This window comes from Homo sapiens, chromosome 3 (genome assembly GCF_000001405.40).
Source record: "Homo sapiens chromosome 3, GRCh38.p14 Primary Assembly".
NCBI classification, from domain to species: Eukaryota; Metazoa; Chordata; class Mammalia; order Primates; family Hominidae; genus Homo; species Homo sapiens.
In genome coordinates this window covers 127,344,830-127,358,930 of record NC_000003.12, presented here as the reverse complement: position 1 = coordinate 127,358,930, position 14,101 = coordinate 127,344,830, and the positions used below count along the sequence as shown (strand labels likewise).

Sequence of the window (14,101 nt, the reverse complement as noted above, 5' to 3'; positions counted from 1 at the left end):
CTCACTGAGGCCCTTTCCCCCTGCACCCACTCACCGTATCTGCCTGCAGTGCTTCTACTCCCAGCTGTGCTCCACACTCTTGCTGGGAGGACTTTGACAACGCGAAGTAACCACTTCCCTCTCAGAGGCTGCCTGACTCCATGTTGTTCTCCATGTGCGTCTCTGTCTTTATCCATCACCTCCACCCTCGTCCCAGGGTGTCCAGGGTACCCACTGTATTTTAGGGACCCATGCAAGTTCCTGGAGGGCTGGCACACATCTGTTTCATTCTTTGCTCTGTCATCTAAGCAAGTGCCTGGCATGGGGTAGGGCTCAGTGAGTACTAGTTGTCAATAGGGACAGTAGAGAGGTAGAATGGAGACAGCTCAGCAGAGAAAGGCATGTTGGTGGGACAGAACAGAAAGCTACACATAGGCCCAGGTCCATACGGATTCAATATGGATGGAAGTGGCATTTCAAACCAAAGGGGAAAGATGGATTTTTTAAAAAGTTATCAGGACAATTAGGTCATTGTTTGGGAAAGAAAATGAAGCTGAATTTAGACCTATTGTGAGCCCTAAATGAGTGGGTTTGTGCCTAGCACTGTTCAAGGCAGGGGACATAAGAGTGACAGAACAAAGTCTCCCCTCACAGTGCTCAGTGCCAGCAGAGGAACAGAGGTCAAACCTACAGGGGAAAGAGGAGGCAAGGGGAGTGTGGGGAGACAGGCAAACCAGGGCCTGGAGGCAACAGCTGCTATTTTAGATATGCCTCAGGCAGAGTGAGGAATGAGGCATGTAAATGTTTTCAGGAGGGGGCTGGTGCCCAGGTGGATGGAACAGAAAAAGGGTCTCTGTGTGCTTGAGGAAAAAGAAGACCAGTGATATCGTTTGGCTCTTTGTCTCCACCCAAATCTCACCTTGAATAATTACTGCATGTCAAGGGCAGGACCAGGTGGAGGTAATCAGATCATGGGGGCTGTTTCCCCCATGCTGTTCTCATGAGTTCTCACGAGATCTGATGGTGTTATAAGGGGTTTCCCCCTTGGCTTGGCTCTCATTCTCTCTCCTGCCACCCAGAGAAAAGCTGACTTCCACCATGATTCTAAGTTTCCTAAGGCCTCCTCAGCCATGTGGAACTGTGAGTTAATTAAAGTTCTTATCTTTATACATTACCCAGTCTCAGGCAGTTCTTCATAGCAGCATGAGAACAGACTAATACAGTAAGGTGGTACCACAAAGAGTAGGGTGCTGCTATTAGGATACCCCAAAACAGGGAAGTGACTTTGGAACTGGGTAACAGGCAGGGTTTGGAACAGTTTGGAGGGCTAAGAAGTAGACAGGAAAATGTGGGGAAGTTTGGAACTTCCTTGAGATTGGAGGGCTCAGAAGACTGGAAGATGTGGGAAAGTTTGGAACTTCCTAGAGACTTGTTGAATGGCTTTGACCAAAATGCTGATAGTGATATGGATGATGAAGTCCAGGCTGAGGTGGTCTCAGACGGAGATGAGGAATTTGCTGGGAACTGGAATAAAGGTGACTTGTTGCTTTGCTTAAGCAAAGAGACTGGTGACATTTTGCCCCTGTCCTAGAGATTTGTGGAACAGTGAACTTGAGAGAAATGATTTAGGGTATCTGGTGGAAGAAATTTCTAAGCAGCAAAGATTCAAGAGGAAGCACAGCATAAAAGTTAGGAAAATTTGCAGCCTGATGATGCCATAGAAAAGAAAAACCAATTTTCTGGGCAGAAGTTCAAGCTGGCTGCAGAAATTTGCATAAGTAATGAGGAGCCAAATGTTAATCACCAAGACAATGGGGAAAATGTTTCCAGGGCATGTCAGAAAGCTTCACAGCAGCCCCTGCCATGACAGGCCTGGAGGCCTAGGAAGGAAAAATGGTTTCATTGACTGAGCACAGGGACACCCTGCTCTATGCAGCCTTGGGGCATGATGGGTGCCCTGTGTCCCAGCTGCTTCAGCTCCAGCTGTGGCTAAAAGGGGCTAAGATACAGCTTGGGCCATTGTTCAGAGGGTGTAAGCCCCAAGCCTTGGCAGCTTACACATGATGTTGGGCCTTCAGGTGCACAAAAGTCAAGAATTGAGGTTGGGGAACTTCCCTCTAGATTTCAAAGGATGTATGGAAATGCCTGGATGTCCGGGCAGAAGTTTGCTGCAGGGATGTAGCCCTCATGAAAAACCTCTGCTAGGTCAGTGCAGAAGGGAAATATGGGGTTGGAGCCCCAACACAGAGTCCCCACTGGAGCATTGCCTAGTGGAGCTGTGAGAAGAGGGCCACTGTCTTCCAGCCCCCAGAATGGTAGATCCACCAACAGCTTGCACCATGAACTTGGAAAAGCCACGGACATTCAACACCTGCTTGTGAAAGCAGCCAGGCTGGGGCTGTAAACTGCAAAGCCACAGGGGCAGAGCTGCCTCAGGCGATGGAAGCCCACCTCTTGCATCAGTGTGACCTAGATGTGAGACAAGGAGTCAAAGAAGATCATTTTGGAACTTTAAGGTTTAGTGACTGCCCTATTGGATTTCACACTTGCATGGGATCTGTAGCCCCATTGTTCTGGCCAATGTCTCCCATTTGGAATGGGTGTATTTACCCAATGCCTCTACCACCATTGTACATAGGAAGTAACTAGCTTGCTTTTCATTTTACAGGCTCATAGGAGGAATGGACTTGCCTTGTCTCAGGTAAGACTTTGGACTTAGACTTCTGAGTTAATGCTGGAATGAGTTAAGACTTTGGGGGACTGTTGGAAGGCCATGGTTGTGTTTTGAAATGTGAGGACATAAGATTTGGGAGGGGCCAGGGGCAGAATGACATGGTTTGGCTCTGTGTCCCACCCAAATCTCACCTTGAATTGTAATAATCCCCACTTGTCAAGGGCGGGATCAGGTGGAGATAATTGAATTATGGGAGTGGTTTCCCCCATGCTGGTCTCATGATAGTAAGTTCTCATGAGATCTGCTGGTTTTATAAGGGGTTTCCTCCTTTGCTCAGCTCGAATTCTCTCTCCTGCCACCCTGAGAAGAGGTGCCTTCCACCATGATTGTAAGTTTCCTGAGGCCTTGGAACTGTGAGTCAATTAAACCTCTTTTCTTCATAAATTACCCAGTCTCAGGTGTTTCTTCATAGCAGCATGAGAACAGAGTAATACAGCCAGCATGGTTGGAGCAAAGCCAGGGATGGGGAGGGTGGTGTATGTGTGTGGGGGGTGAGGGAAGACAGGGAGCCAGCCCCAGGGGCTTGGGCTGTTCTTCTAATTCTAAGCACAAGGGTGATCTTTGGAAGTGATGAGCCAGGTATGGTTCTAGCCCTCATGGAGACTGCATTAGGGAGAAAGTGACTGTGCACAACCAAACAGGTAAATAAACAAAAGTTTGAATAGTGACATATGCTAAGGTAGGAGGTGGGACTCGACTCTGGATGTGGGACCCAGGTGCTGGGACAAATTGAGGACTAACTGAAACAGGGACAGGGTGGAAACAGCCATCCATAAGTCATGCCCACCAGTGTGCCATGTCAGTTTACTGTTTCCATGGCAACATCTGGAAGTTACTGCCCCTTTCCACAGCAGCTACCAGTAACCTAGAAGTTACTACCCTTTTTCTAGAAATTTCTGCATAGTCCACCCCTTAATTTGCATGTAATTAAAAGTGGGTATAAATATGACTTCAGGGCTGCCTCTGAGCTGCTGCTCTGGGCACACTGCTTATGGGGTGGCTCTGCCCTGCTCCACAAGAAGCAGTACCTCTGCTGCCACTATGCACTGCTGCTTCAATAAAAGTTGCTGTCTAACATCACTGGCTTGCCCTTGAATTCTTTCCTGGGTGAAGCCAAGAACCCTCCCCAACTAAGCCCCAATTTTGGGCCTTGCTTGCCTTGTACCAATGCTATCAAAATATTCAGGGTGTAGGGGGAGAGAGGGAGGGATGGGTGAGGAGCTGTGGTCAGGGAAGGTAGCCTGGAGGAGGTGCTACTAAAGAAAAGTTGGCCACGTGCAGGGCCAGAGGCAGAGCAGGCCACACACAGGCAGGGCAGCTGGCCCCCTGAGGTGCTCAGAGCCGGATGCTCTAAAGGTCGTCAGGAGGTAATTGGACCTGCACAAAATAGAGAAAGGAAAAGAGCAGAGCAAGGGGAGGCTGGAGTGATCCCTGTGGGCAGCAAGGTGCTGGACTGGACAACTCCAACACTGGGGCCACGTTGCTTCCAACCTTTTCTCTCTTATCAGTGTGTTGTGCATTTCCCCAAGCCAGTGCATATTGGCCACATGTTGTTTCATACCAGGGATGGGTTTACTGTAGTGGAGAATCCAATTCCCTCTAGACATTTGATGTTTGTTTTTTGTTTCATTTTGTTTTGCAAATTCTACGATAACAAGCAAAGGTGCAGTCTTGCCCATGTATCTTTGAGTAAGTATGGATGTTAAGTTCCTAGAATATGAATCACCAGGTAAAAAGTTTTTGAAATTACAATTATATTTGTTATCACCAACGGTCCTCTGGAAAAGCTGTCTTTGTTTATACACCACCTTTCCTGAGCTCCTTAACAGCAATGGGTATGTAGTCTTTTTTGTTGTTTCCAATAGAGGTGATGAATATAATATATTCTAATTTAATTTGTGTTTCTCTTACTAGCAGTGAAACTGGGCTTCTTTTCATGTGTCTGTTTTTGGAGGGGAGCGTTTGAAAATTGCCTGCCCATTTACTTTGCCCACTTTTCCATTGTATTGTAATTTTCCCTCACGACTTGTGAGAGTAATTTGTAATTTAGGGAAATTTGACCTTTGTCTAGCTTCTGGATGGCAGCTAATTTTTCCCAGTGTGTCTATTATGTTTTTAAATGGGTATTTTGCTGAAGTGAAGTCTTCCACTTTTACATAGTCAAATCAGTCCGCCTTTTCCATTCTGGCTTCTGGGCTTTTTTGTCATGCTTAGAAAGACTTTTTCTCACACCAGGATAAAAAATTCACCCACGTTTTCTTCTATTACATTTTTAGATTCATTTTTGACATTTGAATTTTGATACTTTTGGATTTTTTTCTTTTTAGTCTAAGAAAGTAGAGATTCAGCTTTATTGTTTTCCAAGTGCTTACACATTTATCCCAATACCATTTATTAAACATTCCATCATTTCTTCAATTTTCATGCCATTTTTATCAGCATTTAAACCCTCACATAATTCATGGGCTTATTTCTGGATGCTCTATTCTCCCCCATTGATGTATCTGTTCATATTTTGAATACTTTGTCAAGTTCAATTGAGTTTTTTTGTCAAAAAATTCAATTAGAATTTTGATTTACAGAGGATTGACATCTTTACAACTTTAAGTTTTTCTCTTCAATAAGAAGATATGACTCTCCAATTATTCTATCTTATTTTATGTCTTAGTTGAGCTTTATAGTTTTTTTCATGTAAGGCCTTCACATTTCTTAAATTTTTTTTCTTAGGCATTTTATACTTTCAGTTGCTATTGAGAATGAGCTCTTTTCCTTCATTATATTTTTAGCTGCTTATGTTTTATATAAAAGAAAGTTATTGATTTTGATATGCTAATTTTATAACTGACTACATTAATAAATTGGCTTGTTGTTTCCAATATTTTAAAAATCTTTACCCAGTGATACCATACTATTATTTTCAATGATAAATTTGTCTCCTCTTTCCAATTTGTATGCATCTTATTTATTTATTCATTTTTTTTTAAAGACAGGGTCTTGCTCTGTTGCCCAGGCTGGAGTGCAGTGGTGTGATCATGGCTCATTGAAGCCTTGAACTACTAAGTTCAAGCAATCCTCCCACCTCAACCTCCTGAGTTGCTGGGACCACAGGCGTGCACCACCATGCTGAGATGATCTTAAAACATCTTTTGTAGACATAGGATCTCAATTTGTTGCCTAAATTGGTCTTAAACACCTGGGCTCAAGTAATACTCCTTCCTGGGCTTCTCAAAGTGCTGGGATTACAGGTGGGAGCCACTGAGCCTGGCCATGTATTTAATTGCATTGACTAACTCTTCCAGGAGAATGTTGTAATAAGTTATTGTTTGCCCTATGAGACTGTTACCTTGAATCAGCCCTTAGTGTTGAACTTTTCTCTTCTTTCTCCTGAGAGGTGGGTGGAGAGGCAAACCCGAGAGCTGTCTTGGCAGTGAGAGGCAGGCGTCAGGTGGGCCGATCTCTGCACTTTTCTCTTCTCTCCTTTAAGACACGGTTTGATTTGTTGGCTGAGATACTTAATTCCAGACCCACACTGTTTGATATGATAGCTATTAGCCAAACATGGCTTTCTAAGTTTAAATTTAAGTTAATTACAATGAAATAAAAGTTAAAATTCAGTGTCTCAGTTTCATTAGTCACATTTCAAGGGCTCAGAGCCACATGTGGCTTGTGGCTCCTGTACCTGACAAGGCAGACATGGGACATTTCTGTTACGGCAGAATCTTCTCCTGGGTAGTGCTGCTGTAGTCAGGCATCTCCACCCCCCACACAGCTGGTGAGCACTCATACCGCCTCTAGGCTTTCCAGATTCGTTTTCTAGGTTGTGGGGAGAATTCTTAGAGCTCTTAAAACTCCATTCTATGTGGCTCTTCTTGTTGTTTCCCTCCAGAATGCCCTCACCCTCTCTGTCAAACCAGGAAGTGCTGACAGGTTGCTTTCCCTTCCGGCACTGTGTTCCCTTACCGCCTTCCCAGTTCCACGCTCCTCTCTGAGGATGAGGGCAGGGTGGCCACATAGCGTCTCCTGTTTCACTGTCCCTTCAGAACTTTGCCACTGCAAGGTCAAGTGCGGGGTCTAATTTCCCTCCTCTTGCCACTCCCACAAGTAACCTGTAGCAGGTGGCAGAGTGATGCTACATGGTGCGGGACCAGGTGTGAAGAGGCCGCGTGCAGCTTCTGCCTCAGGCAGGCACATGTGTCTGTGTCAGCACACACCTCAGCAGGCCCTGAGCTTGTGTGAAGAGAGATGCCCGGCAGCCACCGCCGCTCCAGCCACCAGCCACAACAGCAGCAGAGGCCCCACGCCCAACAACCTAGCCAAGCCCTTTCTGCATTCCTGACCCACAAAAGAATGAGGATAATAAATTGATTTTTTGTTGTTGTTTTAAGCTACTAAATTTTAGGAATTGGAGCAGAAGGGAAATGAGTGTGTGTGTGTGTGTGGGGTGTGTGTGTGTGTGTGTGTGTGTGTGTTGGTGGAGCTGTGTGTCAGTTCCTTCCAATCTTTCTGGCCATGGAGAGAACTTTCAGGCATTGTAGGTTGGCGCTGGGGATGTGGAGTGATGCTGGGGATGTGGGGTGATGCATGGACATGACTTCCATCCTGCTCCTGTTAGAACAATAACTGTGGCGTTTTTGTGGGAAGGCGCGCTCGGCTTCTCTCTGTGCTGGCATTTGGCGCCTACCTGTTGCCATGGCAGCCGTGATTGGCACTCCCTTTTCCATCCGGGAAGGGAAGCTGCTCCAAGTAGACTTTTTCTGATTCCCCAAATCTCTCCTCATCTCAGTAATTCTCAGCTGTTAGAATTCAGACGTCTTCTCCGTTCCTTTTATGCTTTCAAGTAGAAAATCCCTTAGCTCTTCTGCCTAGGCTGTTTGAATTGGTATCAAAATCACATTTGATTTGAATTTAGCTGCCAAGACTCTAAGTTTTGTTGGGGCTAATACTCCTTCTCTGCAGCTTCCTTCAGAGTTTGCGTCTCAGTCTCTCCGACTTAGCCACCCCTGGGGGCTCTCCAGGGAGGGTGGAGAGGAGGCAGCTGGCTTCCTGGGTGAGGCCCTCTCTTTCTGCCACTCAGCACTGTGCTGAGTGGCAGAGCCCCCTGACTGGTACTCTGGCCGTGATGGGGGTGGCGGTGAGGAGGAAAAGTCCAGGAAACCACAGAGAAGCTGAGATTGGGAGTAGACCGGGTGGAGATCACGTGTGTGCTGGGGAGGGAGTGGGTAAAGGCCTCAGGGGGCACGGAGCCGGCCACTCAGCCTCACGGGGACAACACATCCATCCAGCCATCCGCACATGGGAAACAGCACATAGGAAGTGGGAGTGCAACTTTAAATAAGGTGGTCAGGGCGACCTTACCGGGAAGGCAGCAGTGGCTGATGCAAAGGAGGTTGGCGTGGGGGGCTGTGGGTGTTTGGGTGACAACACCCATTTGAGATGGGAACAGTAGGTGTGGAGGCAGGGCATTCCCGGCTCCTTCAGGAAACAGCAAGGTGAGACCTAGGTGGTGAGGCCAGAGGGGTGAGGGGGACCAGACTGGGCTTTCATAGAGGGGAGCAGCAGCCAGAAGGGGAATGGGGTTCTGATCTGGTGGCCCCTGTGTTCCCTGCTCTTCTGAGCAGGCATCCAGTGTTTGCTGGAGGAGCTCTGGGAGTGTGGGTTTGCAGAGCTTCCCTATGGGGAGCTCACCGTTGATCACGCCCCGGGCAGATGAGCCCGCAGAGGCTGGGGCCTGCAGGACCCTGTGAACTCCTTCTCTTTTGTGCCGAAAACCCAGGCGGAAAAAGTGCCACGTGGGCATTGTCGTGGGAATCCTAACAGGAGGTACTTCCAGGGACAAGACGACCAGGGCTCAGCGAGGGCACCGAGCCACTGCAGCCCCGCACGTACACATCTGCACAGATGCGCGGCCAGCACAAGCCCCTGGTATTGGACAGGAAAGCCCCGGGGAGAGACAGAGAGCAAGGGTCAGGACTCCTCACCCTGCACCCAGGCCTGGCGCTGCCTCTCCTTAGAGCCCCCTGCTTTCTCCAAAGGAACAGGCGAGGTGGCTGGGCTTCTCCACAGCCTTCCCTGGGGGCTCCCCTGTGGGTCTTTCTGCGGCTCAGAGGTGGGAGGCCCCAGCACCTCTCCGCCTGGGCGGGGCAGGCAATAGGAGCAGAGGACATCCTCCTGACCTGTAGGGCGTCTGAGGCCACCTTCCAGGGGACCTGCCCCCGCCTGCGCAGCAGCCTCGGGGGATGCGGGGGCTGCACCTGTAGAAAGGCTGACAACCCTGGCCAGGGCGTGAGGAGGCTGAGCGGGGCCCAGAGGTGTGGGCCAGGAGAGAGGACACCCGCTGTCGGGGGAGGGGAGCCCTGTGTCCAGGAGGGAGGCCGCTGCCAAGACCTGTGCCGAGGGGTGGCTAGGACACACTTGGACTCTGCACACATGGCCCGCAGGGGAACCCTGATGTCTAGGGTTACCCACTTCTCCAGAGGGATGCCATTTGCGAGAGGGCCAAGCAGGGAACCCTTGACCCCTGACAAATGAGGCTGCTTTTATTAGGAACTTCCTCTACAATGAGCACCACACTCCTGGCAGGACGGGAAGAAGCACAGCTTCGGGGTTGGCCAGACCCAGTCTCCTTTTCCAGTCCTGCCACTGCCTGGTGCCAGACTTAGCATGTCTCTGTGCCTCTATTTCTTCATCTCTAAACTGGGCACAGTGATGGTCCCCGCCTCACAGATAGTTTCGTCCCTCACCAGCAAAAAATATAACAGGAGCTCAAGGCTCTTGGCTCCTGCTCCCTGCTCAGAGCAGGCTTCGCTCCTGCGCTGACATTTCATCCACTCTCTCCTTGACGACTTGACTTTTATTTTTTATTCCATGATGTCTCTTTGGTCTAACTAAACTGCACTATCATCCATTCATTCTGAAATGTTACTTGTCATTTTGTTTTAGGAGTTTTTGCTTAAAAATAGCAGTGGTTTCGGATTTTTTAAAAAACTCCTATGTTTTTTAACAAGAAAGTTTAGCCTATTTACTTAAATGCCATAACTATTTGGTCTCATTTCTGGTGTTCTTTTCTGCTTTCTCACTTCATTTCCTTGCTATCTTTTTGCTCTTTTAATTTCACTGTCTTTGATTTTCCCACTAGTGACTGGGAAGTAGACTTATATTTAATTTTGCTTGTTTACCTTTATTTTATTTTTAAGTGGACCTATGTCGTAAAAATGAATATCAAAAATAAAGTGATAACTATTGATTTCTCTCTCTGTAAAAACCATCTCCCCCTCTCCACTGCGTTTTCTAGGTAATAGCTAGGATTTTAGATGCAATTTTCATTTTTAATTTGTTCATTAATTTTATTATTATGCATCTTCTAGTTCAGAAAATAATTGTCAGTACTGAGAATCTCTTTCTTTTCTAACTTAACTTTCCCATTCCTGAATCTTAATTAGGTGGAATATTTTTTCTACCGATTTTTCCAGAAGGTTGTAATGTATGAACTCATGGATATCTGAGATGATCTTTCTGTTGGTCTCACACACGAACAACAATTTGGGCGGACATTGACTAATTTTTTAAAATTTACATCTAATTGTGTAAATCAAAGTTATAAGTGTACATAAAGAGTCACAGATGATTTTGGCAAGGCTTGCCATGAAAAATAGTATTCTTCCTTTCATCTTTCCTCATTTCCCAGGTCCTGAAGGAAACCGCTTTCAATTTTTTTAGCAGATCCCTTTTGGATTTATCTCCTCACCTCTACAGAACAAGCTTATATTGTTATTTGTTGATTTTATATTTCATTTCAAGCAATGTGTGTTGACTTCTTACTCAGGAAATGAGGGTTTAGCGCTCTTGCAAAACTTGTCCCCTCCCCCCGTGATGTAGACGTGCATCCTATCACAGTTCTTGTGGTATGGTAAATTTGCAATTTGGTTTAGATCCATATTTAGAGTTTATACAGTTTTTTGGTGCAAAACCATACAGCAGTCTACAGTTATTTTCCTTTATTGGACAACTTATATATTTCCTGGAGTTACTGTTTGCTTAATTTTCTATAACTTACCCTGTTAATAATCTGTTCTATTAATTTTCTATTCTTTTGTTATGAATTCATGTTCAAACAGCCTCTAATTGAACCAGTCTGCTCTAGTATCTTCAAAGCATCAGTGACTCTACTTATGCCTCCTCCTCCTCCTCCTTCTTCTCCTTCTCCTTCTCCTCCTCCTTCTTCTTCTTCTTCCTCTTTTTTTTTTTTTTTTTTTGAGATAAGTCTCCCTCTGTTGCCCAGGCTGGAGTGCAATGGTGAGATCTTGGCTCACTGCAACCTCCTACTGCTGTGCTCAAGGGATTCTCATGTCTCAGCCTCCTGAGTAGCTAGGATTACAGGTGCATACCACCATGCCCGGCTAATTTTTTTTTTTTTTTTTTTTCAGATACGGGGTCTCGCCATGTTGGTCAGGCTGGTCTCGAATTCCTGGCCTGAAGTCGTCTGCCCACCTTGGCCTCCCAAAGTACTAGGATTACAAGCGTGAGCCACTGTGCCTGGCCTACCTATGCTTTCTTCTAAGGGGCTTTTCCCAGAACCTTCTAGTGTCTATGGGAACCCTGCCCTTTGCTCCTCATGGACAGCACTTCCTTCACCCCATCCTGAACACCCTTCCCATTTCTCAGGCTAAAGCACCCATTTCCTGAGTTCCACATCTCTGTCTTCCTTAGTCATTCCTCATTTTTTGAGGCATTGAGTATTTGAATGTATTTTTATTCTCCTCTCACTCTTACTTGGCTAGATATAGAATTCTAGTTAGAAATGAGTTTCCTGGGAACGTTGAAGATGTTGCTTTGTTGTCTTCCAGCTTCCAGGCTGCTATTGCAAAGCTAGTGCCAGTGCCATCTTTGACTTTGCACAGTTGTAAAATTTGTTTTGTTGTATTTTATTCTCTCTCTCTGGAAGTCTTTTGGGCTGTCTGTTTATCCTCAGTGCCCTGAAGTTTCATACATGTATCTTGATGTAGGTCCACACCTCTCCATTTTTCTGGCCCTTCTGACCTAGAATCTCCAGAACTGTTCTGGGACACTTTCATGAACTTTTTCCCCTTGGTAATTTCTTCTACTTTTTCTCTGTTCTCTCTTTTTTGGAACTCCTATTACCCAAATGTTGGGCTTCCTGAACTGGCCTTCTAACTTTCTGATCCTTGTTCTCCTTTTCCTGTCTCTCTGCTCCATCTTACGGCTTTCCTCGACTGTATCATCCAAACTCTTCTCTTACATTTTCCATTTCTACTATCACATTTTAAGTTTCCAAGAGCTCTTTCTATGTTCCTTTTGTTTAATAATACTCTATTCTTATTTCCTGGTCAGAATATCATTTCTTAGCGCTCTGCTTGTATTAATGATAATGATTTTGAAGTTTTCTTCCTCCCAAGTAACCTTTGTTTCCTTTAAGTTGCTTTTCTTGTTTTCCATTTGTGTTTGTTCTGACCTCTGTCTCTCATATCAGAGGCTTCCTCAGATGTCTGACAATCCTTTTGATTGCTCATATTTAAAAGCATGGCACTAAAACACTGGTGGAAAGTTTTGTGCATGTGCATGTGTGTGCATGTGCATGTGTGTGCATATGTGTGTGTGTGTGTCATGGGAAATTGTGGCTTGTCATTGTAGGACTTCATTGTAGGATGATCTGCTTGGGCTGTTTCATTGGGAGTTCCTCAGATCTTTCTTCCTGATCAGGTTGAATTCCCCTGAGTATCTGAGGCCTGGAAAGAGAAGCCTGGGTACCAGTGTTCTGGATGCTGGTGGGGAACAGGGCTGGTGTGTTCAGCACTGAGTGTGTCAAGTTCATTCATTTCCCCTGGTTCTTCTGACTTTAACTGTGCCCAATTCAGAGACCCCTATTCTGGTTTCTAGAAGTTAGCATTCTGCCAGAATGAGGTTGTCCAGTCTGATGGAGAGGCTCTGGGCATCTGCCTGCTTATGAAAATACTTTCAGTCCACTCTCTGTTTCTATTACTGCCTTCACCTCTGCTGCAGAGGCACCTTGTGCTTCCGTTCTCAGGACTTTTGGAGCTGCGGTTTATTAGGCTTCCCACAGCTGGCTCGGGAGTCAGCTTTCTAAAATCAGCGAATTCATTTATCCCTCATCCATCTCCTTTCCTGACTCTAACATTTGTTGCTATTTTCTCCTCTTCTGTTCTCTTTGTCCTTATAAGTGTAGGCATTCCCCCTCCTTTTAACATCTTATTGCCGTGTTAGTGGGAAGTCAGGATGGAGCAGAGGTTAATATCCATTTTTGGTCAGTTACATTTAAGCAGAACTCAGCATTGAGTTCTGAGTCCCCCCATGGGTAAGAGGAGGAGGCCTATTCTTTCATAGTGACACCCACCTCACATTCATTGTTGGCAGCCAATCTCACAGTCCCAGTAGCCGGATTGTGTAACTGATAAATTTCTCTTTCACATTAGCTTCTAGAAAGTTTTAAGACATATTTATGCCCTAAATATTTGCTGTAGCAGATCTATAGATTATCTTAAAGACTTTTTTTAAGACACAGGGTCTTGCTCTATTGCCCAGGCTGGAGTGCAGTGGCACCATCACAGCTCACTGCAGTCTTGAACTCCTGGGCTCAAGCCTCCTGAGTAGCTGGGACTACAGGCATGAGCCACCATACCTGGCTAATTTTTGTAGAGATGAGGTCTTGCTATGTTGCCCAGGCTGCCAGTTTTAACATCTTAATAGATTCTCTGCACTTATCTTCACAGAATGAGTCATTAAAGGAATGAAAAGTCCATTGCTGGGATAGACCAGCCATAACATGGAGCAGTTACTGACTTCAAAAAACACATTAGGTTTTTTTGTTTGTTTGTTTTGTTTTGTTTTGTTTTGTTTTGACAGAGTCTCACTCTGTCGTCCAGGCTGGAATGCAATGGCATGATCTCAACTCACTGCCTCCTGGGTTCAAGCAATTCTCCTGCCTCAGCCTCCCGAGTAGCTGGGATTACAGGTGCACGCCTGCCACCATGCCCGGTTAATTTTTGTATTTATGGGGTTTTGCCATGTTGGCCAGGCTGGTCTCGAACTCCTAACCTCAGGTGATCCGCCCACCTCAGCCTCCCAAAGTGTTGGGGTTACAGGCATGAGCCTCCGTGCCCAGCCACATTAGGTTTAATATGAGACTATCGTAATATCAAGATTGTCTGGGGACAGGGTCTCGTTATGTTGCCCAGGCTGGTCTTGAACTCCTGGTCTCAAGCGATCCTCCTGCTTTGGCCTTCCAGAGTGCTGGGATTACAGGCATGAGTTACTGCGCCTGCTTGTATTATCTTTAGTTATAGGCCTTGCCTTTGGTTCCACCCTTCCACATCCTTATTTGTTTATCTTACTTAGTAACGCTTTCCAAGGATG

The 14,101-nt window shown here is 46.1% G+C and overlaps 1 long non-coding RNA gene across 1 annotated transcript in view; it reads left to right on the top strand.

Moving 5' to 3' along the window:
- The window catches only part of LINC02016 (long intergenic non-protein coding RNA 2016), a 68,364-nt gene that overhangs the window by 31,740 nt on the left and 22,523 nt on the right, over nucleotides 1-14,101 (top strand). Inside the window, exons 2-3 of the long non-coding RNA NR_110147.1 lie at nucleotides 2,648-2,680; nucleotides 2,991-3,041. This is a non-coding gene — a long non-coding RNA (long intergenic non-protein coding RNA 2016). The remainder of the gene's footprint in view (nucleotides 1-2,647; nucleotides 2,681-2,990; nucleotides 3,042-14,101) is intronic.